The sequence below is a fragment of the Homo sapiens genome, chromosome X (assembly GCF_000001405.40).
Source record: "Homo sapiens chromosome X, GRCh38.p14 Primary Assembly".
NCBI classification, from domain to species: domain Eukaryota; kingdom Metazoa; phylum Chordata; class Mammalia; order Primates; family Hominidae; genus Homo; species Homo sapiens.
Window position 1 is genome coordinate 36,407,375 of NC_000023.11, and position 26,028 is coordinate 36,433,402.

Consider the following 26,028-nt stretch of genomic DNA (forward strand, 5'->3'; position numbering starts at 1 on the left):
CAATATGGCAATGAATTCCCTGGTATATTAGTTAGCTTAGGGTGTCACAACAAAATACCACCTACTAGGTAGCTTAAACAACATAAATTTATTTTCTCAAAGAACTGAAGATTGGAAGTACATGATCAAGGTGCCAGTAGGGTTGATTTCTCCTGAGGCGTCTCTCCTTGGCTTGCACATGGCTACCTTTGTACTGTGTCTGTTACAGTAGGCAGCTAGTCAGGCATGAGCAGGGCAGGAGAGGGATCCCTGCCACCCCCATCAGGAATGTCAGGGGACCATCATGTGATGGTCAGGTGGTTGCTACACTGTTTCTCTAAAATAATAATTGGTCCCAGCTGGCACTAAGGAAAGGCCGTCTCCCAATAGATAGAAAAAACCTGAAACTGGTGATCAGCAACTTCCAGATAAGATCTCAGGAGTTGGGCCAGTGGGCTCAAGCATGCACACTAAGAGGCAAAATGGTGAGGTTTAATTGGTATACAACCTTCTAGAAACATTAGGACTGGTACGGGAAGAATGTCTCAAGTGAGCATATGCACAATTTTGGCAAACACACTGCACATGCGGCCCCTCTCAAGTGCTGGCAGGCCACCGTGCATGCGGACAGCCCACCCTAGGGGAGAAATCTGAGAAGTAACACAAGACCCTGGAAGCATGCCAATGTATAAAACTCCAAATCAAAAGGTCAACTCGCGCACTTGATCTTTCAAGTTGCCCACTTGGCTCTCTTCCAAGTGTACTTTACTTCCTTTCATTCCTGCTCTAAAGCTTTTTAATAAACGTTCACTCCTGCTCTAAAACTTGCCACAGTCTCTTATTCTGCCTTATGCCCCTCAGTCGAATTCTTTCTTCAGAGGAGGCAAGAAATAATGAGAGTGCTGCACAGCTGTACAGACTTACTACTGGAAACGCCTTCTCATGAACTTTCTCTGTATACATGTAAAAAGAGAGAGAGAGAGCAAACTCTCATATCTATTCCTCTTATTATAAAAACGTTAGTCATGTAAGATTAGGGCTTCATTTATGAAGCCTTATGACCTCATTTAACCTCAGTCACCTCCTTAAGGGCCCTACCTCCAAATATGGTCACATTGGAGGTTAGGGCTTCAATGCATAAAATTGGGGAGGCCACAATTCAGTCAATAAAACCCATTTTTTTAATCAACTTCACATATCCCAGAAATGCCGACAAGCACAGACAAAAGAAGAATGTCTTTTTTCCTAGCCAAAGTTGAAGAAAATGGGAGACCTAAGAACAGAAATCTTTTGGCAATTTTCTTTAGTATTTTTCCATCAATATCCATCAGAGATATTGACCTGTAGTTTTCTTTTTTGATGTGACTTTGTCTGGTCTCTTTTTTGATGTGACTTTGGCCTTTTAGAATCAGTTTGGACGCATTCCATTCTCTATTTTTCTGAAAAGTTTGAGTAGAATTGGTATGACTTCTTTGTTAAATGTTGCATAGAATTCAGCAGTGAAGCCGTCAGTTCCTGGGCTTTTCTTTACTGGAAGATTGTTTTATTAAGGCTCTGATCTTATTACTTGTTATTGTTCTGCTCACATTTTGGATTTCTTTCTGGTTAAATCTTGGTAAGTTTTATGTGTCTCAGCATTTGTCCATTTCTTCTAGGTTTTTCAATTAATTGGCAAAGAGTTGCCCATATCACCATTAATGATCCTTTGAATTTCTGTAGTATAAGTTGTAATGTCTCCTTCTTCACATCTGATTTTATTTATTTTGATTTTTTTTCCTAGTCTGGCTAATGGTATGTCAATTTTGTTTAACCTTTCAAAAAACAACCTTTTGTTTTAATAACCCTTTGTACCGTTTTCTTCATTTCAATTTTATTAATTTATGCTTCTGATCTTTAGTATGTTTTTCTTCTACTAATTTTGGGCTTGATTTGCTCTTGCTTGTCTAGTTCTTTAAGATGCATAGTTTATTTGAATTTTTTCTCTTTTTGATGTACTCACTTACAGTTATAAACTCCCTATTAGTACTGTTTTTGCTATATCTCATAGGTTTGGTATGTTGTGTTTCCATTATCATTTGTTTCAAGAAATTTTTCAATTTACTTCTTAATTTCTTCATTAACCCACTGGTCATTCAGGAGCATATCGTTTAATTTCCATGTATTTTTATAGTTCCAAAATTCCTCTTGTTATTAATTTCTAATTTTATTTCATTGTGCTTAGAGAAGATGCTAGATATTACTTTACTTTTTTGAATGTTTTATGATTTGTTTTGTGACCTAACATATGGTCTATCCTTGGGAATAATTCATATGCTGAGGGAAATAATGTGTATTCTATAGTTGTTGCATAAAATGATCTGTAAATATCTATTAGATCCATTTTGGTCTATACTGCAGATTAAGTCTCATGTTTCTTTGTTGATTTTCTGTACAAAAGATGTATCCAATGCCGGAAGTGGTGTGGTGAAGTCTCCAACTATGATTGTTTTGGGGTCTATATCTCTCTTTAGCTCTAATAATATTTGCTTTATGTATATATCTGGGTGCTCCAGTGTTGGGTGTATACACACACACACACACACACACACACACACACACACCTATATATAGAGAGAGACAGAGGACATAACAAATATATACATATAATTGTTATAGCCTCTTGCTGAACTGACCCCTCTGTCAATATATAACGACCTTGTTTTATCTCTTCTTATAGTTTTTGTCTTGAAATCTATTTTGTCTGACATAAGTATAGGAAATCTTGCTCTTTTTGGTTTCCGTTGGCATGTAAGATCTTTTTTTTATCACTTTATTTTCAGTCTATGTGTGTATTTACAAGTGAGGTGTGTTTCCTGTAAGAAACAGATCAATGGGACTTGTTTCTTTTTAATCCATTCAGTCGATGTATATCTTTTGATTGGAGTGTTAAGTCTATTTAAATTCAATATTATTTTTGATAAGTAAGTACTTACTGCTGCCATTTTCTTATTTGTTTTCTGGTTGTTTTGTGGTCTTCTCTTACTTCTTTCTTTCCTTCTTGCCATCCTTTAATGAAGATGATTTTCTCTGGTGATATGATTTATTTCCTTACTTTTTATTTTTTGTGTATCCATTGCACGATTTTTCATTTGAGGTTACCATGAGGATTGCAAATACTACCTTATAACCCATTATTTTTATCTGATAACAACTTAACACTTTGCCCAAACAAAGAAACAAACAAGCAAAAGAAAATTAATAAAGATTCTATACCGTAACTTTATCCCTCTGGTTTTTATCATTTTATTTTTTCTGTTTGAGTTAATTTTTGTATATGGTGTAACGTAAGGGTGTAACTTCATTTTTTTTGCCTGTGGATATCCAGATTTTCCTTCACCACTTGTTGAAGAGACTGTCTTTTCTCCACTGTGTAGTCTTGGCATTCTTGTCAACAATTATTTGGACAAATATGCAAGATATTTTTCTGGGCTCTGTATTATGTTCCAGTGGTTTATATACATTTGTCTTTAGGCCAGTACCACACCATCTTGATTACTGTTGTTTTGTAGTATGTTTTGATATCAGAAAATGTTAGGCCTTCAACTTTTTTATTTTTCAAGACTGTTTTGGCTATTCTGGATCCCTTGAGAGTCCTTATGAATTTTAGAATGTTCTTCACATTTTTTTCCAGGAAACAACACCAGATATCACCTGGTACAATGATTCATGTTTTTTAGTGGAAATCTTTCTAGAGAGGTGGACTTATCCAATGCAAAACATTTTAGGGGCATAAACCCTGGTATATTCACCTTATGTTGGCTCTACTATGGAGCCAATATTCTTAAACAACTCAGATTTCAGCAACAGTCGCCTATAATTATGGCTTCCTGATGCCATGTTGTTTCTCCTCAAGCTTTTGCATGGAGATTGACCTGTAGGAGTCTGAATAGGGATTTAATTCATGACATATTCTGTTACATAAGTTAAGATTGGCACATGATAGTTGCTCAGTATATGTTGTTCTTCTCTTTCGTATACATTCAGGTTTTTTTCATTACTCAGCCTAATGCAATAGATAATTTTTGTTTATAAATATGATGATTAATAAAGATAAATGCCTTTATTTTGTACTCAAGATATATTGTAATTTGGCCCAAATTATATTGCTTTAACTAACCCATTGGTCTTGCAATATCTTTTTCTCTACAAGTACCACAATACTTTTAGTGTGTTTAAATATCTTTATACACTGCAATGATTTCAAAAGTGCCATTTCATATGCCAGAAATGTCCTTTATTCTTGTCTTTCTAATGACCTAGGACTTCTAAAATCAGCTCAAACTTCAGATTCTCTATGAAAAGTTTTATTGTCTTTCCACAAAAGGGTTAGCCTCCCTCCTTTGTGCTCCTATTTGTCTCATATATTTCCATCTCCTTCAGTTCATTTTCGTCTCTGACTCTATAAAAGTATGTTAAAATAATATGCTAATTCCTAAAGAAAATGTTTCCAAAAATGTTAAAGCAGCATAACATGAAATGAACACAGAAGACAAGTTCAGTAAAGAAAAAAAAACAAAAACAAAGCTTTAATAAGTTGAAAGTTATTCTGATGGATCAACTCATTTAGCTAAACATCTTATTCTTCTTAATGATAAAAGTCTAAAAATAACATTATAAACATTCAAAATTTCCTCCCATGTATTCAGAATTTTGCCGAAATAAATATAAGCAATGGCCTGTCCATAAAAACTGTAGTTTTATGTGCTGTTTTTTTCAGGATGAGTTTCTGTGTTAAGACCTGAACTGGACTATGAACTCTACTGGTCTTCCCTGTTTCTGGGAAGTGTACCTCTTATGCCTACAAACCTTGTGTCACAGTGAAATGAGGCCATGAGCAATGAGGGTGTCTCATTCTTGTCAGTAGTGATAATGTAACACCCATTGCCCGAGCTTGCACACCAGAAAATATAATAGAGTTCTGGCCCGAGAACCCTATTGAAATCTCAATTCATAGTTAACAGTGTTGCCAGGAACTTGCTAAAGTAGTTTTCTGTTTGTTTTGTCAGGCTCTGTACAGCTTTAAGCTGCTCACCTAATGTGTTTAATGTTATAGTTAATGTCAGAAAACTTAGTAACCAACATATGAGCCCAGCGTTACTCTCATCTGTTTGAAGTTACGCTCTCCAAGATGTCAGCTTTGATGAAATGTTCTCCATAGGGCTCTTGTAAAACTCATCAGTAGTGCACTGATGAAAAATTCCTGCAAGCTACTAATGTCCTTTAATCATATAGCTTTGTGTATTACTCTTTGATATTTTGTGCTTTTAGCCAGAGAACCTACACAAGATGGAAAATACTACTCTTTTCCATTCTATAAATGCATGGCATACAAATATAAACTCCGCTTTCCACTTATGGCTAGGTATTAGTGGAGGAAATTAAGACACAGTGTGCCAATGGCCTGAACCTAGGCTTTCTAGCCGTCTTTGCCATTTGACGGTAATAGTAAATCACTTTTGTTTGTACATATTAAGAAGGTTTTATGAAATCTCTGCTCTAAAACAACATTAAAGAAAAGGAAGGGTAGTCTTACCCCTTGGTTTCCCCATTATAACATTTTCACTAGAAAAATGCTGTCCTCACAAGGTACTGTTATTTACAAGAGATACAAAATAATAAATAGTATTAAGAGATTTGGGGAACATTTTCTTTCTTATATACACTTTAACATATCAAAGTTTCTGCTGGTGGGTACTTACTTACACAAAGCAATTGAGATCTATGATACATTTTACATATGTAACTAAGCACAGAATATTTATAATGCATTTTACTGTAAAAAGTTTCATGCATGCATATCTTCTCTTACTCTACATTACCCCTTCATCTCCTACTTTAATTTAAAAGGTGATGAAATTGTAACCTGTCTCTAGGTTTGGGGGTACACAGTGAAAAATTACCCACTGGTAACTTTTGCACCTTGAGTTTTTGTTTCAGAAAAGTTCCAGGAAGAAGTTCAACCCTGATGTAGTTGTCCATTCTTGCATTGCTATAAAGAAATACCTGAGACTGGATAATTTGCAAACAAAAGGGGTTTAACTGGCTTATGGCTTTGCAGGCTGTACAAGAAGCATGATGCTGGTATCTTCTCAGTATCTGAGAGGCCTCAGGAAACTTCCAATTATGTCAGAAGGGGAAAGGGGAGCAGGTACATTACATGAGCACAGCAGGAGCAAGACAGAGAGAGGAGGTAGGTACCACACTTTTAAATGATCAGATCTTATGATATCTCACTCACTATCGTCAGGACAGCACAAACAGGATGGTGCTAAACCATTCATGGGAAATGTGCCCTGATGATCCAATCACCTCCCAACTAGGCCCCTCCACTAATGTTGAGGATTACAATTCAACAGGAGATTTGGGCAGTGACACACATCTAAACTATATCATTAGGCCCTGGACCCTCCCAAATCTCATGCTCTTCTCACATTTCAAAGTACTATCCTGCCTTACCAATAGTGCCCCAAAGTCTTTACTCATTCCAGTGTTAATTCAATAGTACAAAATCCAAAGTCTCACCTGAGATGAGGCAAGTCCTTTCCACCTATGAGCCTCTAAAATTAAAAAAAAAAACAAGTTAGTTACTTCCAAGATAGAGTGGAGCTATAGGCATTGGATAAACATTCCCATTTCAAAAAGGAAGAAATCAGCCAAAAAAGGAACTACAGGCCCTGTGCAAGTTTAAGACCCTCAGAGCAGTCATTAAATCTTAAAGCACCAAAACAATCTTCTTTGACTTCATGTCCCACATCCAGGGTACACTGGTGTGAAGGGTGGGCTCCCAAGGCCTTGGGTAGCTGCATTCCTGTGGCTTTGCAGTGTTCTTCTTCCATGGCTGCTCTTACAGGATGGCATTGCATGCCTGTGGCTTTTCCAGGTTAAGAGTGCAAGTTGTCCGTCGATCTACTATTCTTGGGTCTGGAGGATGACAATCCTCTTCACATAGTTCCACTATGCAGTGCCCCAGACTCTGCATAGTGGAACTGTGGGGGCTTCAAACCTACATTTCCTTTCTATATTGTAACTGTCCAAGGGGTTCACCTTGCCTGCTGCCTAGACAGAGCTGATTTATCAAGACAGGGGAATCGCCATAGAGAAAGAGTAATTCATGCAGAGCTGGCTGTGAGGGAGACTAGTGTTTAATTATTACTGAAATCAGTCTCCCCTAGCATTCACACATCAGAGTTTTTCAGGATAATGCGGTGGGTGAGGAGGGCCAATGAGTAAGGGGTACTAACTGGTCGGGTCGGAGATGAAAAGGAAAAGTATCCCTACATATTTTTTCCAGAGCAAGTGTGGATATAATTTTAAGTGAAATAAAATTATTAACAATTATGAAGTTTTTGTTATTCATGGTATATTTAATAGTGGTGTCTGTGTAGAGGATGACAGTGTATGTTCACTATTTGGTGAACATAGTGTCCATGATATCTGTCTTCTACCAATCCAAAAAGTACAAAAATGAATATTAAAATTTCAGGAATCATTATCTCTCTTAATCTTTTCTCTTCTCAGTTTTGTTGTGGTAATGGAGGTAGCTTACAAGCCCATTGTCTACTAAAAGTACACTTACAGGTCTTTAAATGTTAAAAGAAAAGAGGGTGTTTTTTGTATTACGTATACGTGTATCTCAGAATTTTCCTTGTCTTAGTTCCGTACCATGCCTCAAAGTGTAAATGTGAAATATCTAAAATAAATTTAGGATCAAATAATTGCTATTGTTATGCTCAGAAAGTGGTTTTTAAAAAATTATACCTTAAGTTCTAGGGTACATGTGCACAAGGTACAGGTTTGCTACATAGGTATATATGTGCCATGTTGGTTTGCTGCACACATCAACTCGTCATTTACATTAGGTTCTTCTCCTAATGCTGTCCCTCCCCCAGCTCCCCACCCCCCAGTGTGTGATGTTCCCCGCCCTGTGTCCAAGTGATCTCATTGTTCAGTTCCCACCTATGAGTGAGAACATGCAGTGTTTGGTTTTCTGACCTTGTGGTAGTTTGCTGAGAATGATGGTTTCCAGCTTCATCTATGTCCCTGGAAATGACACGAACTCATCCTTTATTCCATTGTGTATATGTGCCACATTTTCTTAATCCAGTCTATCATTGATGGACATTTGGGTTGGTTCCAAGTCTCTGCTCTTGTGAATAGTGCCGCAATAAACATACATGTGCATGTGTCTTTATAGTAGCGTGATTTACAATCGTTTGGGTGTATACCCAGTAATGGGATGGCTGGGTCAAATGGTATTTCTAGTTCTAGATACTTGAGGAATTGCCACACCGTCTTCCACAATGGTTGAACTAATTTGCCCTCCCATCAACAGTGTAAAAGTGTTCCTATTTCTCCACATCCTCTCCAGCATCTGTTGTTTCCTGACTTTTAATGATTCCCATTCTAACTGGCGTGAGATGGTATCTCATTGTGGTTTTGATTTGCATTTCTCTGACGACCAGTGATGATGAGCATTTTTTCATGTGCTTGTTGGCTGCATAGATGTCTTCTTCTGAGAAGTGTCTGTTCATATCCATTGCCCACTTTTTGATGGGGTTGTTCTTTTTTTCTTATAAATTTGTTTGAGTTCTTTGTAGATTCTGGATATTAGCCCTTTGTCAGATGGGTAGATTGCAAAAATTTTCTCCCATTCTGTAGGTTGCCTCTTCACTCTGATCGTAGTTTCTTTTGCTGTGCAGAAGCTCTTTAGTTTAATTAGATCCCATTTGCCTATTTTGGCTTTTGTTGCCATTGCTTTTGGTGTTTTAGTCATGAAGTCCTTACACATGCCTATGGCCTGAATGGTATTGCCTAGGTTTTCTTCTAGGGTTTTTATGGTTTTAGGTCTAACATTTAAGTCTTTAATCCATCTTGAATTAATTTCTATATAAGTGTAAGGAAGGGATCCAGTTTCAGCTTTCTACATATGGCTAGCCAGTTTTCCCAGCACCATTTATTAAATAGGAAATCCTTTCCCCATTTCTTGTTTTTGTCAGGTTTGTCAAAGATCAGATGGTTGTAGATGTGCGGTGTTATTTCTGAGCTCTCTGTTCTGTTCCATTGGTCTATATCTCTATTTTGGTACCAGTACATGCTGTTTTGGTTACTATAGCCTTGTAGTATAGTTTGAAGTCAGGTAGCATGATGCCTCCAGCTTTGTTCTTTTGGCTTAGGATTGTCTTGGCAATGCAGGCTCTTTTTTGGTTCCATATGAACTTAAAGTGGTTTTTTCCAATTCCGTGAAGAAAGTCATTGGTAGCTTGATGGGGATGGCATTGAATCTATACATTACCTTGGACAGTATGGCCATTTTCACGATATTGATTCTTCCTATCCATGAGCATGGAAAGTTCTTCCATTTGTTGTGTCCTCTTTTATTTTATTGAGCAGTGGTTTGTAGTTCTCCTTGAAGAGGTTCTTCACATCCCTTGTAAGTTGGATTCCTAGGTATTTTATTCTCTTTGTAGCAATTGTGAATGGGAGTTCACTCATGATTTGGCTCTCTGTTTGTCTATTATTGTTGTATAAGAATGCCTGTGATTTTTGCACATTGATTTTGTACCCTGAGACTTTGCTGAAGTTGCTTATCAGCTTAAGGAGATTTTGGGCTGAGACAATGGGGTTTTCTAGATATACAATCATGTCATCTGCAAACAGGGACAATTTGACTTCCTCTTTTACTGATTGAATACCCTTTATTTCTTTCTCTTGCCTGATTGCCCTGGCCAGAACTTCCAACACTATGTTGAATAGGAGTGGTGAGAGAGGGCATCCTTGTCTTGTGCCAGTTTTCAAAGGGGATGCTTCCAGTTTTTGCCCATTCAGTATGATATTGGCTGTGGGTTTTTAATAAGTAGCTCTTATTATTTTGAGATACGTTCCATCAATTCCTAGTTAATTGAGAGTTTTTAGCATGAAGGGCTGTTGAATTTTGTCGAAGGCCTTTTCGTCATCTATTCAGATAATCATGTGGTTTTTGTCATTGGTTCTGTTTATGTGATGGATTATGTTTATTGATTTGCGTTGGGGAAGTTCTCCTGGATAATATCCTGAAGAGTGTTTTCCAACTTGGTTCCATTCTCCTTGTCACTTTCAGGTACACCAATCAAACATAGATTTGGTCTTTTCACATAATCCCATATTTCTTGGAGGCTTTGTTCGTTTCTTTTTACTCTTTTTTCTCTAAGCTTGTTTTCTCACTTTATTTCATTAATTTGATCTTCAGTAACTGATACCCTTTCTTCCACTTGATCGAATCAGCTATTGAAGCTTGTGCATGCGTTACGAAGTTCTCGTGCCATGGTTTTCATTTCCATCAGGTCATTTAAGGTCTTCTCTACACTGTTTATTCTAGTTAGCCATTCGTCTAACCTTTTTTCAAGGTTTTTAGCTTCCTTGTGATGGGTTCAAACATTCTTCTTTAGCTTGGAGAAGTTTGTTGTTACCGACCTTCTGAAGCCTACTTCTGTCAACTTGTCAAAGTCATTCTCCATCCAGCTTTGTTCCATTGCTGGCAAGGAGCTACGATCCTTTGGAGGAGAAGAGGCACTCTGATTTTTAGAATTTTCAGCTTTTCTGCTCTGGCTTCTCCCCATCTTTGTGGTTTTATCTACCTTTGGTCTTTGATGTCAGTGACCTACAGATGGGGTTTTGGTGTAGATGTCCTTTTTATTGATGTTGATGCTGTTTCTTTCTGTTTGTTAGTTTTCCTTCTAACAGTCAGGTCCCTCAGCTACAGGTCTGTTGGAGTTTGCTGGAGGTCCCCTCCAGACTCTGTTTGCCTGGATATCACCAGTGGAGGCTGCAGAACAGCAAATACTGCTGCCTGATCCTTCCTCTGGAAGCTTCGTCCCAGAGGGGCACCCACCTATATGAAGTGTATGTTGGCCCCTACTGGGAGGTGTCTCCCAGTTAGGCTACACGGGGGTCAGGAACCCACTTGAGGAGGTAGGCTGTCTGTTCTTAGAGCTCAAATGCCATGCTGGGAGAACCACTGCTCTCTTCAGAGCTGTCAGACAGGGACGTTTAAGTCTGCAGGAGTTGTCTGCTGCCTTTTGTTCAGCTATGCCCTGCCCACAAAGGTGGAGTCTAGAGGCAGTAGGCCTTGCTGAGCTGTGGTGAGCTCTGCCCAGTTCGAGCTTTCCGGCCACTTTGTTTACCTACTGAGGCCTCAGCAATGGCGGGTGCCCCTCCCCCAGCCAGGCTGCTGCCTCACAGTTTGATCTCAGACTGCTGCACTAGCAGTGAGCAAGGCTCTGTGGGCATAGGACCCACCGAGCCAGGCACGGGAGAGAATCTCCTTGTCTACCAGTTGCTAAGACCTTGAGAAAAGCGCAGTATTTGGGCAGGAGTGTGCCGTTTTTCCAGGTACAGTCTATCACAGCTTCCCTTGTTTAGGAAGGAAATCCCCTGACCCCTTGCACTTCCCAAGTGAGGCATGCCCCACCCTGCTTCAGCTCACCCTCCGTGGGCTGCACCCACTGTCCAGCTAGTCCCAGTGAGATGAACCAGGTACCTCAGTTGGAAATGCAGACATCACCCATCTTCTGTGTCGATCACACTGGGAGCTGCATACTGGGGCTGTTCCTATTCGGCCATCTTGGAACAGAGCTCTATTTTTTTTTTTTAAAGTTTTCTGTCTTTGTTACTACTTTCCTGTCAAACTTGGCTACATTTTGGTCTGTGTGGAAAATAATATTATGAATAAAAGACAGCTAGGCTAAATTGATTTTTAAGAGAATTTAATGACTCATTTATAGAATCTGAATTTTTAGACTCAGTGAAAAAATCATGCAAATTCTCATCAGTTGATGTTCTCTGTTTGAAATCAAATGTTTCTATTATACTCCTAACTCCTAGAGACATTTAGAGAAACTTCCTTCTAATAATAATACAATAGGCCTATTAATCAGACTATTTCTACATGATAGAAGAGTTACAGACTATTTCTACATAATAGAACATCTTCCAACTGTCATCTAAAGTAATTTGCTATTGTTACTTCATGTGAAGTTGAATGAATGATGAAAATACATACATATACTTCACTTCACATTCAAAGAATTTATAATTATACCACTACCAGATAAGAAATATTAATATTGTGGTGCCTATTTTATGTACAAAATTGCGCTTACAAAAATTCTGTAAATACATCATACAATACACATATATATTTATGTATCTATATTTACATATAATATCTATATATGTACACATTAATCTGATTATACTTAATATAACATAGTAGTTTACAACATCCTTAACTACAATTGGAAATATGATTTCTAAAGCTGATTACCATTCTGATTTATAAAAACACCATAATTTTAAATATAAGATGAATTGTATCACCCCCACCAAAAAATTATATGTTGAAATCCTAATCCCAGTACCTCAAATTGTGACTTTATTTCGAAATAGGGCTTTGGGGATGTAACTAGTTAAGATGAAGTCATACTAGGGTAGAGTGGGCCCCTAACCCAATATGACTGGATTCTTCGTGAAAAGAATGTCATGTGAAGAGACAGACATGCATTCACACTGAGAGAACATAAGAAGATTAGAGTTATGCTGTCACAAGCCAAGGGACTACCAGAAGCTTGGAGAGAGGCCTGAGAGAAATACTTCTGTAGCACCTTCAGAGGGAATGTGGCCCTGCTGACACTGATCTTAGATTTCTGGTCTCTAGAAATTTGTGACAATAAATTTCTGTTGTTTAGGTCACTCTGTGGTACTTTGTTACAGCAGCCATGGCAAACTAATATGTCTCTAATTTTTTCACTTTTTTGCTTTTGAAAATGACAATAAGATGAATGTTACTGTACCAGAAAGGTTATTCACCTGTCCAATTATTTTATTTTACAAAATAAGCTTTATTAAAGTATAATTCACATTGAAAAAAGAAAAATGACTTAGAGAAGTCTGAGCTATATGAGGTATGCAAAATTTATCAGGCCCAAAAAGACATGATTATGGGACTTCAGTCATGCCTGCTGCACTCGTGACTGGGATGGGGGAAATTGTTTAAAGGTATTTTGTTCCTGACTCACCCATTATCTACCTGTTCCTGGAATTGGTGATAGAAAGAACATCGTAGAACCAATCAATAGCTCATGCTATTTTAATGTAAATTCTTGGTAAACAACTTAGGAACTGCCTTTTCCCTTAAAAGCCCACTTGTAAGTACTGCCAATCAGGGCACATATTCAGGGCAACTTGAATCTGTGCTTCCAGTTTGCAGTTCTCAAACTTGGTCGAAATAAACTCTCTATTCATATTAATTTTTGCCTCAGTTTTTTCCCTTTGGGTTGATGTATCTGGTACAGTCGACATGTTTCAAAGTGACTCTCCCAGATCATCCAGTGTTTCTGTCTGAAAGGGGTGCTTGATGGCAGCATGAAGCCATTGCCTTCTCTCTCTTCTAGAGTCCCATTAGTTGTTGTGGGTAAGTTTTACTGAAATATGGACTTTATCCCACTCTTTGATGGAAGGTCTACACTTTATTTGGGCTGTTTTTACAAACCATTCCTTTCTAGAATAGAGATTTTTTAATGTTTTCCCTGTGGGCAGATTTGGATTACAGTAAAAAACAAAACAAAAACTGCGTTTTCTCTGCCTCTGTCTCACAGCAGTTGGTTCATGTCAAAGTTTCTCTGCTTTTGCCTCAGGACTGGAGGTTGGGGTCAAGGTCAGGCAAAGAGCTCTCCATAGAAATTTTGCTTTTCCACCTGTCTCACAACATAAGGTTTGGATGAAGAGATTGGCAGTTTGGCAACAGGGGTCTTGTTTTAAATAGCATGCTTTAAAAATTGCAGCTGCTTGCTTTCTACTGCTTAAAATTTAGGCTTGGCTTTTTATTTGTCATCAACTAATTAAATACCAGTTGGTTTTATGTACAACAATTATTGGGTATTCTCTTTTAAATATCTAGGAAAGAGGACTCACCTAACCTGGTATGGTCATATGCGGAAATGGCCAAAATGGGGGCCCTTGGCTTGCTTAAATAATGTATTAATGCACATAACTGGAAAAAGCTACCTTTAGAACAAGAAAATTGAATGGGAGAACTACTTCATGTTTGTTCTGGATGAAATAAGAGATTTGAAAATAATTGCTTAAGAACTCTATTGTCATAAATTAGCTTAATTAAAAGCTTATATTCAAGGCCAGGCACACCGGCTCACACCTGTAATCCCAACACTGTGGAGGTCAAGGTGGGAGGTTCACCTGAGCCCAGGAGTTTGACCTCAGCCTAGACAACATAGTGAGACCCTGTCTCCATAAAAAGATTAAAAAAAACAACAACAACAGAAACTAATCAGGCATGCTGGCAAGCACATGTGGTCCCAGTTACTTGGGAGGTCAAAGCAGGAGGATCACTTTAACCTGGGAGATCGGGGCTGCAATGATTTTTAATTACATCGCTGCACTCCAGCCTGAGCAACAGAGTGAGACACTGTCTCTAAAAAAAGAAAAAAAATTCGGATATTCAGGCTACAAATTTTTTGGGAAAATAAAAAGCTGTTCTGCTTTTTTCTCTTGGATCATATTTCTGTGAAATTTTTTCAGTCAAGTAAGCTTTTAAAAAAATGTTTCATACCTCTGTTTGCTTACTGTCTTGTTGGTATAACTGCTGAGAAAAATGTAAAACTTCCTTGGCCTTTCAGAAAGCATAAAATCTCCTCAAATTGGCTTCTCTATGTATTCTTTTTTTTCCACTTATGCTTTTCCATTCCTTTGCCATGTTTGATAACACATGAAGAAATGCAAAGGAGACTTCAAGTGACTCAGACTTTATGTGGAGTACAGAAAAAAATGCCACTTACTCCCTTTTGGGGGTCTTCTGTTTTCCTTGCAGAGTTCAGTCATAGGCAGGTTTTTTCTCCAGTCAAAAGCTTTGCTCTCTTTTGCATAGAGTTACCTGATGTCTTTTGCTTTCAGGGTGCCAGGGACTACATTATACTGTGAGAGAGAATTTGACTTTTGTGTGTGCAGTGGCTAAAAAGTCACTGGCAAAAGTTGCAGTTTCAGAAATTGCTGACAGCAGTTACAGTGAATGGGTATCACTGCAGAGGAATACTTGTTTCTTTGTAGATTTCCATAAGAAAGGCACAGTTTGAAGACTTGGAGGCTATGGAAACACTCACCACCAAGAACTAATACTCTGGCAGGAGATGGGTTGATCACAGAGTGGGTTGATTGGTGTTGGGTCACCTATTAGCCTTGCGGAATGTCTTTGTAGTAAGGTGCACTATGGAAGCATTATATGGCCTATTCTCATGGTGCTTCCCTTTTTGGGGGGACCTGGAATTCAGTGTAAAAGTGAGATCCTTGATTTTGTACAGATCTAGATGCCCTGCCTTAGAACTGTGCCTGCTTTTCATATGTTTAAATCTTAGGCCCTGAAAACTACAAATGCTTTCTTTGCCCTATTCTTTAAAGGGCTCAATGCTGAGGTCAGTAATCAAATTTAGAAACAAGCTAAGCAGAAAAGACCACTTATTAAACTGAATCCATCTCCAACCTACAACTTTTTGATATTTAGATGGCTGCTTTGAACTTTTTTAAAAGAAATTTACATCTATAAAAAATTCTCATTAGTAAGGGCATCTCCCTCTTTGCATCAAAACTACTAGAAATTTTATAATGGGGAAGGCATTGCCTTAAATTGTACATAAAATACCTTACCTTTGTTCAAGATAATTATCCTAGGAAACTTGTCTTGATTGGGTTTTTACCTATGCCCTTCTTTGCTTCAGCAAATAATAGTGTTTATATGTAAGTTCTGTGCTTTGGGGATATAAATTTTTACCTGAGTCATGCCTTTGAAAGTGCAAATGTGGGATTGTCTCACTAACAATTGTTTACTGCACTTGAACCGCTAATCAAGGGATCAATAGTCTAAAAGTGGGAGAAAAGGTATTTGAAAATTGGAAAATGAAGAATCTTATAAAGCTATTAGGCCTCTGCTTCTACCTGTGTGTCTGTCTGTATGTATATCTGTATGTTTCATGTATATGTAATATTTCACTACTAAAATATATGAAAGTGCTTTGATTGACTTAAAAAAGTAACCACTGAAATCAAATATTTTATCAGAAAATCAGAAACTAAAATATCTTTTAGTTCACATGACTTAGGTATGTCTCTAACCAATAAGACTAATTTAATATTATCAGTTTGATAAAAACAACTGCCTTCTGAGTAATCAACAAAAAAAGGCATGTATTTAAGTTTTATGTTTTTATGATACTTGCCTGACATAGAGTAATATAAAAATGGATAGTGGAAAACGTAACTTGAAATGATAGCTACAATTGTCCAGTGTCTCCTGAAATTTTCCAAACATAATTGTTAAGAATAAACTAAGTAAATGTAAATGGAATAAATATTTTAATTATAATTTTGCATCATAACGTGTTTGTTAGAGGGGTTTGAACCAGAGTGACTCTGTCTTGAATAGGGCTGGGTAAAATAAACTTGAGACCTACTGGGCTGCATTCCCAGGAGGTTAGGCATTCTTAGTTACAGGATGAGATAGGAGGTTGGAACAAGATACAGGTCACAAAGACCTTGCTGATAAAAGAGTGTGCAGTAAAGAAGCTGGCCAAAACCCACCAAAACCAAGATGGTCACAAAAGTGAACTCTGGTCATCCTCACTGCTCATTATATGCTAATTTTAATGTATTAGCATGCTAGAATGCACTCCCACCAGCATCATGACAGTTTATAAATGCCATGGCAATGTCAGGACATTACCTTATATGGTCTAAAAATGGGAGGAACCCTCAGTTCTTGGAATTGCCCACCCCTTTCCCGGAAAACTTATGAATAATCCACCCCTTGTTTAGTATATAATCGAGAAGTAACTATAATATCAATCAGATGAGCAGGTCATGCTGCTGCTCTGCCTATGGAGTAGCCATTCTTTTGTTCCTTTACTTTCTTAATAAATTTGCTTTCACTTTACTGTATGGACTCGCCCCAAATTCTTTCTTCCATGAGGTCTAAGAACCCTCTCTTGGGGTCTGGATTGGGATCCCTTTCTGGTAACACGTTTACTTAAAAACGTTTTTCAAATCCTTTTGGTAATTTTTCCTTTAGGGATTTTGCTAAGCTAAATTAAATTATAAATGTTCATTGAATACCTAAATCATTTACAGATAAGATGTAATACTAAGACATTAATGACTAATTATGAGTTGAAGCTTATATATTTTTGGCTTTTTATTTCAGAGAAACAAATATATTTAGACCTTTAAATAAATATGTTCTATTCCACGTTTTAAAAATTGTTCCATTAGGAAGACTATGTTTCTAAATATTATAAAATGTGTATTCATAAATTGTTAGTATGCAACTAATAGTTAAAAAATTACTTACTAGGGTTACTACGGGTTAAAATTCTGAGTAATATATGATAATTTAAACTAGACATAAGAAGGAAAATGAGGTTGGGCGTGGTGGCTCACACCTGTAACCCCAGCACTTTGAGAGGCCAAGGCGGGCAGATCATGAGGTCAGGAGTTCAAGACCAGCCTGGCCAAGATGGTGAAACCCCCATCTCTACTAAAAATGCAAAATTTAGAGGGGTATGGTGGCACGTGCCTGTAGTCCCAGCTACTGGGGAGGCCGAGGCAGAAGCATAGCTTGAACCCAGGAGGTAGAGGTTGCAGTGAGCTGAGATCTTGCCACTGTACTCCAGCCTGGGTGACAGAGCGAGACTCTGTCAAAAAAAAAAAAAAAAAAGGAGAAATGATTCTATATACAGAATGTACAAGGAAAGGGAAATAAGTTTTTGGTTATGAATGTTATAAGAAAGATATGAGAATGTGGTTTTTGTTAAAGGAAAAGTAATGTATAAGTTATTTAAAAGTTTTTTTAAGTTGAATGGATAAAAAAGGATACAATGAGAAATAAATTGAAAGGCTATAGAGAAGTTGAAATGAAGGAGAATTTAAAAAATTGTAAGAGGTTATAAAAGATTTATGATGTCCTGGGAATTGTCTTTGCCTGCTGCCTCGTGAAGTGTATCAGAAGTGGCTATGAGGTGATGTAGGGGTCTGGTATCTTCAGCCTCCTCATCTGGGGGAGTGTAGTAGTCTCCTCTAGGTTTTTCAATTAAGTGGATTATTTTTTCAGACAGAAAAAAATAGATTTAATGTTAACAATACATGAATGAAAAGGTAAACTTTAGTTTTCTCTTTTGAACAAGATTTTCATATAGTATTAAAAAGAGATAATACAATATTTTCTTTATCCTTTGAGTAAACTGCAAAATAAAAAAGAGGAGAGAGTTTGCCTTATGCTATCTTTACTAAGTTTCTTCATTGTTTGAGAACTGAATTTCCTCTCTATCAAAAAGTAAAGGTCTTCGCTTAATGAAGTCTAAGAATTATTACTTTGGCTAAGTGAATTACCATTATTTTACAGTAATTTGTGATCCTATTTTGATATCAAGTGTTCTAAAGTTAATATTTGATGTTTCCAAATCAAATTTCAGATTCTAAAATTAAGTATTTTCCAAAAGGAACCCCTGGAAATTCAGGAAAAATGTATTAGGCTTATTTGGTATGTTAAAATTATATGAGAAGCATTGTCAAACAAGAAATGGTATTTAACTTTCTTTGAGTTGTATTTGTATAAATGTGTTATTAATACATGTTTCAAAATTCTGTGATATTCCAAAATTCTGACATGTGTGGTATATGTTATCAGTCATAATTATGATTACTATGTTAAATTGTTGTATGCCACAGAAATAAGAAAATTTCCATGTCAATTGTGTCCTTAACCAGGGCTACTCTAAATCTTTTGCTATCCACAGAAAATTTTTATTTTACTATGATTCTTCTCAGAACACAGTTTACAGTCAGCTAGAGTCCAAAATTTGCTTTTTCTTCAAGAAAATTAATAGAAATGACCCTGACAAGTACAATTCAATACAGGTTTCTGATAACTTTGGAATTCGTATCATTAGACTAAGTAAAATCTTTCAGAGCTTCAGTACAAAAATGATTTGTCCATGAAGATTGCTAACCCAACATCAAGAAGACCAATAATTAATTACATGTTAGTGAACTGATAGAAAACTGAAAGGATTTTTATGACCTTTATTGTGAAACAATGTTGATTTTTAAAAATATTTAGTTTTCTATGGTCAAGAAAACTTTTTTCCTTTGAGCTATCTGTAGCTAACGGCAATTGGGTAAAGTATACTTTTGTGAGAAAAATTCAAACATTTTCCTTTCTCTATACCTGATTTATCCAGAATTCAGAACTACTTTTTGTTTTATTTTTATTTTGCTATTTTCTGGCAATGTAGTTATTTGAGTATGTTCAATAAAAATTTGTTTTCTTTTGTAATAGGACATATTGGATACACTGATTATTTTATCAGGCCTTTGACTGAAATGTCATAGTTTAAAATGTAACCAAACTGCTTTGAGGAATTGAGGTTGATTTGATAAAGCCAATAGATGTGGAAAAACAAAAAAACAAAACAAAACAAAAAACTGGCCTCATACCTTGTCTATTTGGTTCTCTTACAAGGTTCCTAAATTTGTGTAAGTAAAGAATGTCACTTTCTGACAGGCCCATGAAACCCAAGGTATTTTGGGGACCTTGAGAAGAGAGGGATTCACCCAATTTGTACAGATATTATCAGAACGGTCTAATGGCAAAAACTTGGTTTGGCTTCCTACCCATAACATGTATTTAGAAAGTCTAATTGAGATTCCTTATGAAAAAGTTTCATCAAAGCCAACTTAAAAGAGCCTACATCGCCAATCACTATTCTTGTTTCACTTATGCAAATAATCAAGCCAAGTATAATACTAAAACTTATTTTCAAATAAATTTGTCTTAATGAGATTTATCTTCAGTAGAAATGGAGAATTAGAGAGCGAAAATATGTTTCAGAAGAAAAGTATAGAATTCTTGTTATCAGATTCTAGTCTTGAAATTATTTTTAAGCTATTATTTTCCTACAATTTAGATGGAATTCTGAATTATTTCCTGGCTACAAGTATAGAATGCTTGTTATCAGATTCTAGTCTTGAAATTATTTTTGTTATTATTTTCCTACAATTTAGACTGAATTCCGAATTATTTCCTGGCTACAAGTATCTAAAGAAGAATATGGATTCATTTTTCTTCATTATGTTTTTAGTTGACTCCCCAATGGAACAGGTATCTTTTTAAAATTTGTTTTGGCATACAAATTATTTTTTTAATTTATCTCATTGTTTTATGTCTTCCAAGAAAAGTAAACTTGTGGTATTTCGAGGAATAGAGATGATGATTCAACAAGCAAAAGTAGCTCTATAAATCATTGACTTCACCGAAGTATTATTTTTGCCACTCCATCCCCCTGTGAAGCCATCCCAATTCAGATTTCAGTGCTCTTAAAATTCTTGACTGAGACACATCTCCCTCCCACCCACTGACACAGAACACGACTATTCAGGAATAAGCTTTCTGAGCACTAAGGGATGAAGGCTGTCTATCACTGTAGCCTCAGCAAAGATAATCATTAATGCTTCCATGGGAAGATTATTGATCAAAAGAGGGTAAATGAAAAAAATGAAAATAGCTCAGAAAAGTTTGAGCTATGTGAGGTATGCAAAAATTATCAGGCCGAAAAAGACAAAACTATGGGATTTCATTCGCACTTCTGCCCCCATGTTAGGAGCAATGGTTTAAAGGCTGTCTCTTTCATTATCTTCATGTTTCTGGAATTTATGACACTAAGAATAATGTATGTCCGATCAATAGATTGCTATTTTAATGTAAATTCTTGGTAAACAACTTAGGAACTGATCTTTTTCTTTAAAAACCCACTTGTAACTGCTATTAATTAGAGTGTGTATTGTAGCACAACGTGAATACATGCACCTGCGTTGCACTTCTCAAACTTGTTTCAAATAAACTGTTTACTTACATTAATTTTGCCTCAGTTCTTTTCTTTTACGTTGACAACATACAAAATATGCACCGATTATAAGCATACAGTTTACAGAGCTTTGGAGCATTTTTATATACAATTTGTCTAGCACTCTAATCAAAATGTAAAACTTTTTCGTTATTCCAAAAAATTTACTTATGCTCCATGAAGTCAATCTTCTGACTTCCTGACTGAGAGAAGAGCTGCTGTAATTCCTATAATTATAGATTAATTTTGCTCTTTATAAATACATGTATAAGTAAAATTAGATAGCCTCTCTATGTGTGCATGTGTGTGTGCGCGTGTGTGTGTGTGTGTGTGTGTGGCTGACTTATTTCAATTAACATGTTTTTGAATTCACTCATATTATTGTGTGTATCAGCAGTTCATCCCTTTTTTATTGTTGAGTAGTTTTCCATTATATGAATATAGTATATTCTGTTTAACTGGATTGTTTCCAGATTTCGAATATTAAGAATAGGGTACTAAGAACATTCATATTCAAGATTTTCTCTGTGCATATGCTTTCATTTCTCTTGAATAAATACCTGTGAGTAAAATTATTGGCTCATGCAATAGTATATTTTTAACATTATAAAAACTTGCCAAAATGCTATCTAAAGCCATTCTGCTATTCTCCCTTACCTCCAGCAAAGCATGATGAGAATTCCAGTTGCTCCATATCCTTATCGACACGGTCACCTAGGAGATATGTACAGGTATTACATAGTGGTTTTAACTGGCATTTCCCTCATTGCTAATGATATTTTATTCACATGTGCTTCCTGGCCATTCTTATATATTCTTTTTTGAAAGATATCTTCAATTTTTTTGCTAATTTATGATTGTTCATTTTTTCCCTCAATATTGAATTTTTAAATGAATGTATAGATTTATTATGTATATTACTTTTTTTTAAATTTTTATTTATTTATTTTTTTATTATACTTTAAGTTTTATGGTACATGTGCACATTGTGCAGGTTAGTTACATATGTATACATGTGCCATGCTGGTGCGCTGCACCCACTAACTCGTCATCTAGCATTAGGTATATCCCCAGTGCTATCCCTCCCCACTCCCCCCACCCCACCACAGTCCCCAGAGTGTGATATTCCCCTTCCTGTGTCCATGTGATCTCATTGTTCAATTCCCACCTATGAGTGAGAATATGCCGTGTTTGGTTTTTTGTTCTTGTGATAGTTTACTGAGAATGATGATTTCCAATTTCATCCATGTCCCTACAAAGGACACGAACTCATCATTTTTTATGGCTGCATAGTATTCCACTAGAACTAGAAATACCATTTGTATATTACTTTAAAATATAAGATCTAAATATTTACATTTATTTTTGAGATACCAGTCCCTTTTCAAATGTGTGCTTTGCAAATATTTTCCCCCAAGCTGCAATTTGTCTATTAATTTTCTTAACTGGTCAATAAAGAGGACAGGTTTTCAAATTTGATGTAGTTTAATATTTTTAAATTGTATGGTTTATGTTTTTATCTTATATAAAATATCTTAAGGTCGCAAAGATGTTTAAAAATTAATTACAGTTTTTATTTTATTATAAAAATGCTATAGTTTTAACAGTTATGTTTAAATTGGATCCATTATTAATAACTATTTTTTTAATGATGTAACGAGTTAAGATGTTTCTCTTTCCAAGTGTCCAACTCCTCCAGGAGCATTTGTGAAAAAATACTCTTTTACTCACTAAAGTAGTTGGAAACCTGCGAAATTCAGCTGATCACATATGTGTGGATACATTTCTGGACTATATATACTGTTGCATTAAACTATTTGTCAATATTGTGCCAATATTACCCTGTCTTGCTTACTAAAAATGTATAATAGTTCAATCAGATACTACAGATTTTTTTCATAATTTTTGACTATTCTATATCTTTTGTAATTCCACATGATTTTAGAACAAACTTGTATATTGTTACAAAATAACCTGCTGATATTTTGATTGTGTTTGTATTACGTGTATAAATGTATTTGAGTAGCTTGAAAATCTTAAAAGTATTGAGTCTAAGCCGGGCACGGTGGCTCATGACTGTAATCCCAGCACTTTGGGAGGCTGAGGCGGGTGGATCATCTGAGGTCAGGAGTTTGAGACCAGCCTGGTCAACATGGTAAAACCTCGTCTCTACTAAAAACACAAAAAGTAGCCAGACATGCTGGCACAGGCCTGTAATCCCATCTACTCAGGTGGCTGAGGCACGAGAATTGCTTGAACCTGGAAGGCAGAGGTTGCAGTGAGCTGAGATTGCACCAATGCACTTCAACCTGGGTGACAGAGCAAGAGTCTGTCTCAAAAAAAAAAAAAAAATTGCGTCTATCCAATATTGTAATATATCTGTTGCCCATACTTGGCTAAATTTATCCTTTTAAAAATAACTTTATTAAAATATAATTGACATAAAAATTGTATATATTTAGTGTATAAAATGTTATATTTTGATACATGTATTCATTATAAAATGATTCCCACAATCAAGCTAATTAACATAGCAATCACTTAACATTGTTACCTTTTCTGTGGTGAGAACACTTGATCTCTACTCTAGTAGCAAATTTTCAGTAATAATAATAATAATAGTAATACATTATTAAGTAGAATCACCATGTTGTACATTAGGTCTCCAGTACTTATATATCTCATGACTGAAGTTTTGTACCTCTTAACAAATAACTAAGTGGAAAGTTTGTTCAACTTAATTTTTCAGTCAGAATTGTGTAAGCTGAACTAAGTGTTTATGGTGCTGGCTATTGTTTCTCCTCTTAATCATAGGTCCTCTTCAGTTAGAACACAAACAAGACTATTTTTTCCTTGCAAATTGATGTGGATGGTGGGCTGCTGGGGCATCATTTTCAATATTTTCTCGTCCCTTCTTAAAATGAGTTATTCACTTGTAAATTGATGATGATTTCTTTGGAGTACTGTTCCCATAAACTTTTTATAAGGCATTAATAATTTCACCATTCTTCCGTTCAAGCTTCACCATAAATTTGATGTTTGTTCTTGCTTCAATTTCAGCAGCATTCATGTTGCTCTGATAGGGGGTCTTTTCACACTGATGAAATCTTTCTTCTCATCTAGAGCCTCAGACAACTAGATCCTGTTCATACACGTTATAAGAAGTTAGTATGAGTTTATTTTGGTGCAAAAATATTTTAAAATCCATGCATAGTTTTTTCATAATGTACATTTTCCATGAACTTTTTGAAGACCCAGCATGTGGGGGTGTGTGGGTAGAGGGAGGGAGGGAGAGAGAGAGAGAGAGAATATAAGAAAAAATAAAGTTTTATACTGGAGAGAATAAAATAACAAAAATTAAAACCACAGTTTGTATTTTATCAGAAGTGGAAATTAAATAACAACAGAAAGGTATCATACCAACAGCCAAAGGAACAATCTAAAATGACATCTCAAAACTTACCCTTTTTAATAATTGAGAAAACTACATTATCACCAACTGTTACAGTCTTAGTGACTCAACTATAACAAATGTGGGAGGGGAGGACATTTCTTAGTCTTTAGCATGGCTCGACTAAGAGACTAGGCTCCTCCAAACACCTGCACATATGGAGGAAGAGACTTCGCATATCATGTGTCATGTATTCTTGGAATGAATTTAGATAGTTACCATGACAACTGCTAGCCAAGGAGAATATTTAGTAGTATGGGTATGGACATCACCAAATACCACAAGAATGAGGTCATGTTGGTTATACAGCCTAGTGGAACTAAAGCAACTGGACTTCATTTATTTCCATTGTGAAGCCCTTATATCTTGGTTTTATAATAAATGTCGAAAGCAAAAAGACAAGTGGCAGTTACTACACAAATGTCTTTGCAGACAATCTTACCTCATTCTCCCAGTTACAGACAAACGTGTCAAGTGTGGCTTTGCATAAGTCAGAATAGTTATGAAAAATACATAACTTACCAGGGCAAAGTCATGTTTTATTTTTCTCTTCAGAAGTGTTTGATTCCACCAATTTGTAATTTTCTTTTTTTTAGGCAGGCTTTGAGAGATGTTTCAGTGTTGTTGCCTTGCTTGATAAAAATTAAATGGTAAAAGTTTATTCAGATACGGATCTGGCTGAAGAACAAAGAGGGGAGAGGAAATGTGTATGGGCAATATGGGTGATGTTAAAAGCCCTTGAGTCTCATTTCAGAGGTAAGAATCCATACAAAAATTATAACTAATAATAATAAAGCCTAAACGCTGTATATAGAATTACAAGTCATGGTGAATCATTGTCATTTTACTCCAAGAATGCTATTGTTATTGAGATTTTAAATATCTAAATGCCTTTCTGTAGGGTCCAGCCCTACAGGGCCTGTGGGTTTTTCTCTTCGTGTGCGGAGACGAGAGATCGTAGAAATAAAGACACAAGACAGAGATAGAAGAAAAGACAGCTGGGACCAAGGGACCACTACCACCAAGGCATGGAGACCGGTAGTGGCCCCGAATGCCTGACCATGCTGTTATTTATTGTATACAAGGCAAGGGGGTAGGCTAAGGAGTGTGAGTCATCTCCATTGATAGGTAAGGTCACGCAAGTCATGTGTCCACCAGACAGGGGGCCCTTCCCTATTTGGTAGCCGAGGCAGAGAGAGAGAGGGGACAGCTTACATCATTATTTCTTCTATGTATTCCTCAGAGAGATCAAAGACTTTAATACTTTCATTAATTTTGCTACTGCTATCTAGAAGGTGGAGCCAGGTGTACAGGGCGGAACATGAAAGTGGACCAGGAGTGTGACCATTGAAGCACAGCATCACAGGGACATGTTTAGGCCTCTGGATGGCTGCGTGCGGGCCTGACTGATGTCAGGCCTTCCACAAGAGGTGGTGGAGCAGAGTCTTCTCTAACTCCCTGGGCGAAAGGGAGGCTCCCTTTCCCAGTCTGCTAAGTAACGGGTGCCTTCCCAGGCACTGGCGCTACCACTAGACCAAGGAACCCTCTAGCGGCCCTGTCCGGGCGTGACAAAGGGCTCACACTCTTGTCTTCTGGTCACTTCTCACCGTGTCCCTTCAGCTC

At 36.6% G+C, this 26,028-nt stretch overlaps 1 long non-coding RNA gene across 1 annotated transcript in view, besides 2 other annotated features; it reads right to left on the reverse strand.

The window, feature by feature from the left end:
* Positions 1–26,028, reverse strand: part of LOC101928627 (uncharacterized) — a 74,667-nt gene that overhangs the window by 41,749 nt on the left and 6,890 nt on the right. The window contains exons 2-5 of the long non-coding RNA NR_110412.1: positions 24,928–25,033; positions 23,656–24,096; positions 21,612–21,668; positions 6,541–6,575 (exon numbers count right to left, since the gene is read on the reverse strand). This is a non-coding gene — a long non-coding RNA (uncharacterized LOC101928627). The remainder of the gene's footprint in view (positions 1–6,540; positions 6,576–21,611; positions 21,669–23,655; positions 24,097–24,927; positions 25,034–26,028) is intronic.
* Positions 24,368–25,567: an enhancer, noted in NCBI's record as "MED14-independent group 3 enhancer chrX:36449855-36451054 (GRCh37/hg19 assembly coordinates)". NCBI's record gives its function as "activates an origin of replication core promoter dependent on BRD2, BRD4, P300/CBP and CDK7 cofactors, and independent of MED14, by STARR-seq in HCT116 cells {active_cell/tissue: HCT116}" and the evidence as "EXISTENCE:reporter gene assay evidence [ECO:0000049][PMID:35650434]".
* Positions 25,615–25,820: a silencer, noted in NCBI's record as "fragment chrX:36451102-36451307 (GRCh37/hg19 assembly coordinates)". NCBI's record gives its function as "represses an EF-1alpha promoter that drives an FKBP-Casp9 reporter gene in an ReSE screen in K562 erythroleukemia cells {active_cell/tissue: K562}" and the evidence as "EXISTENCE:reporter gene assay evidence [ECO:0000049][PMID:32094911]".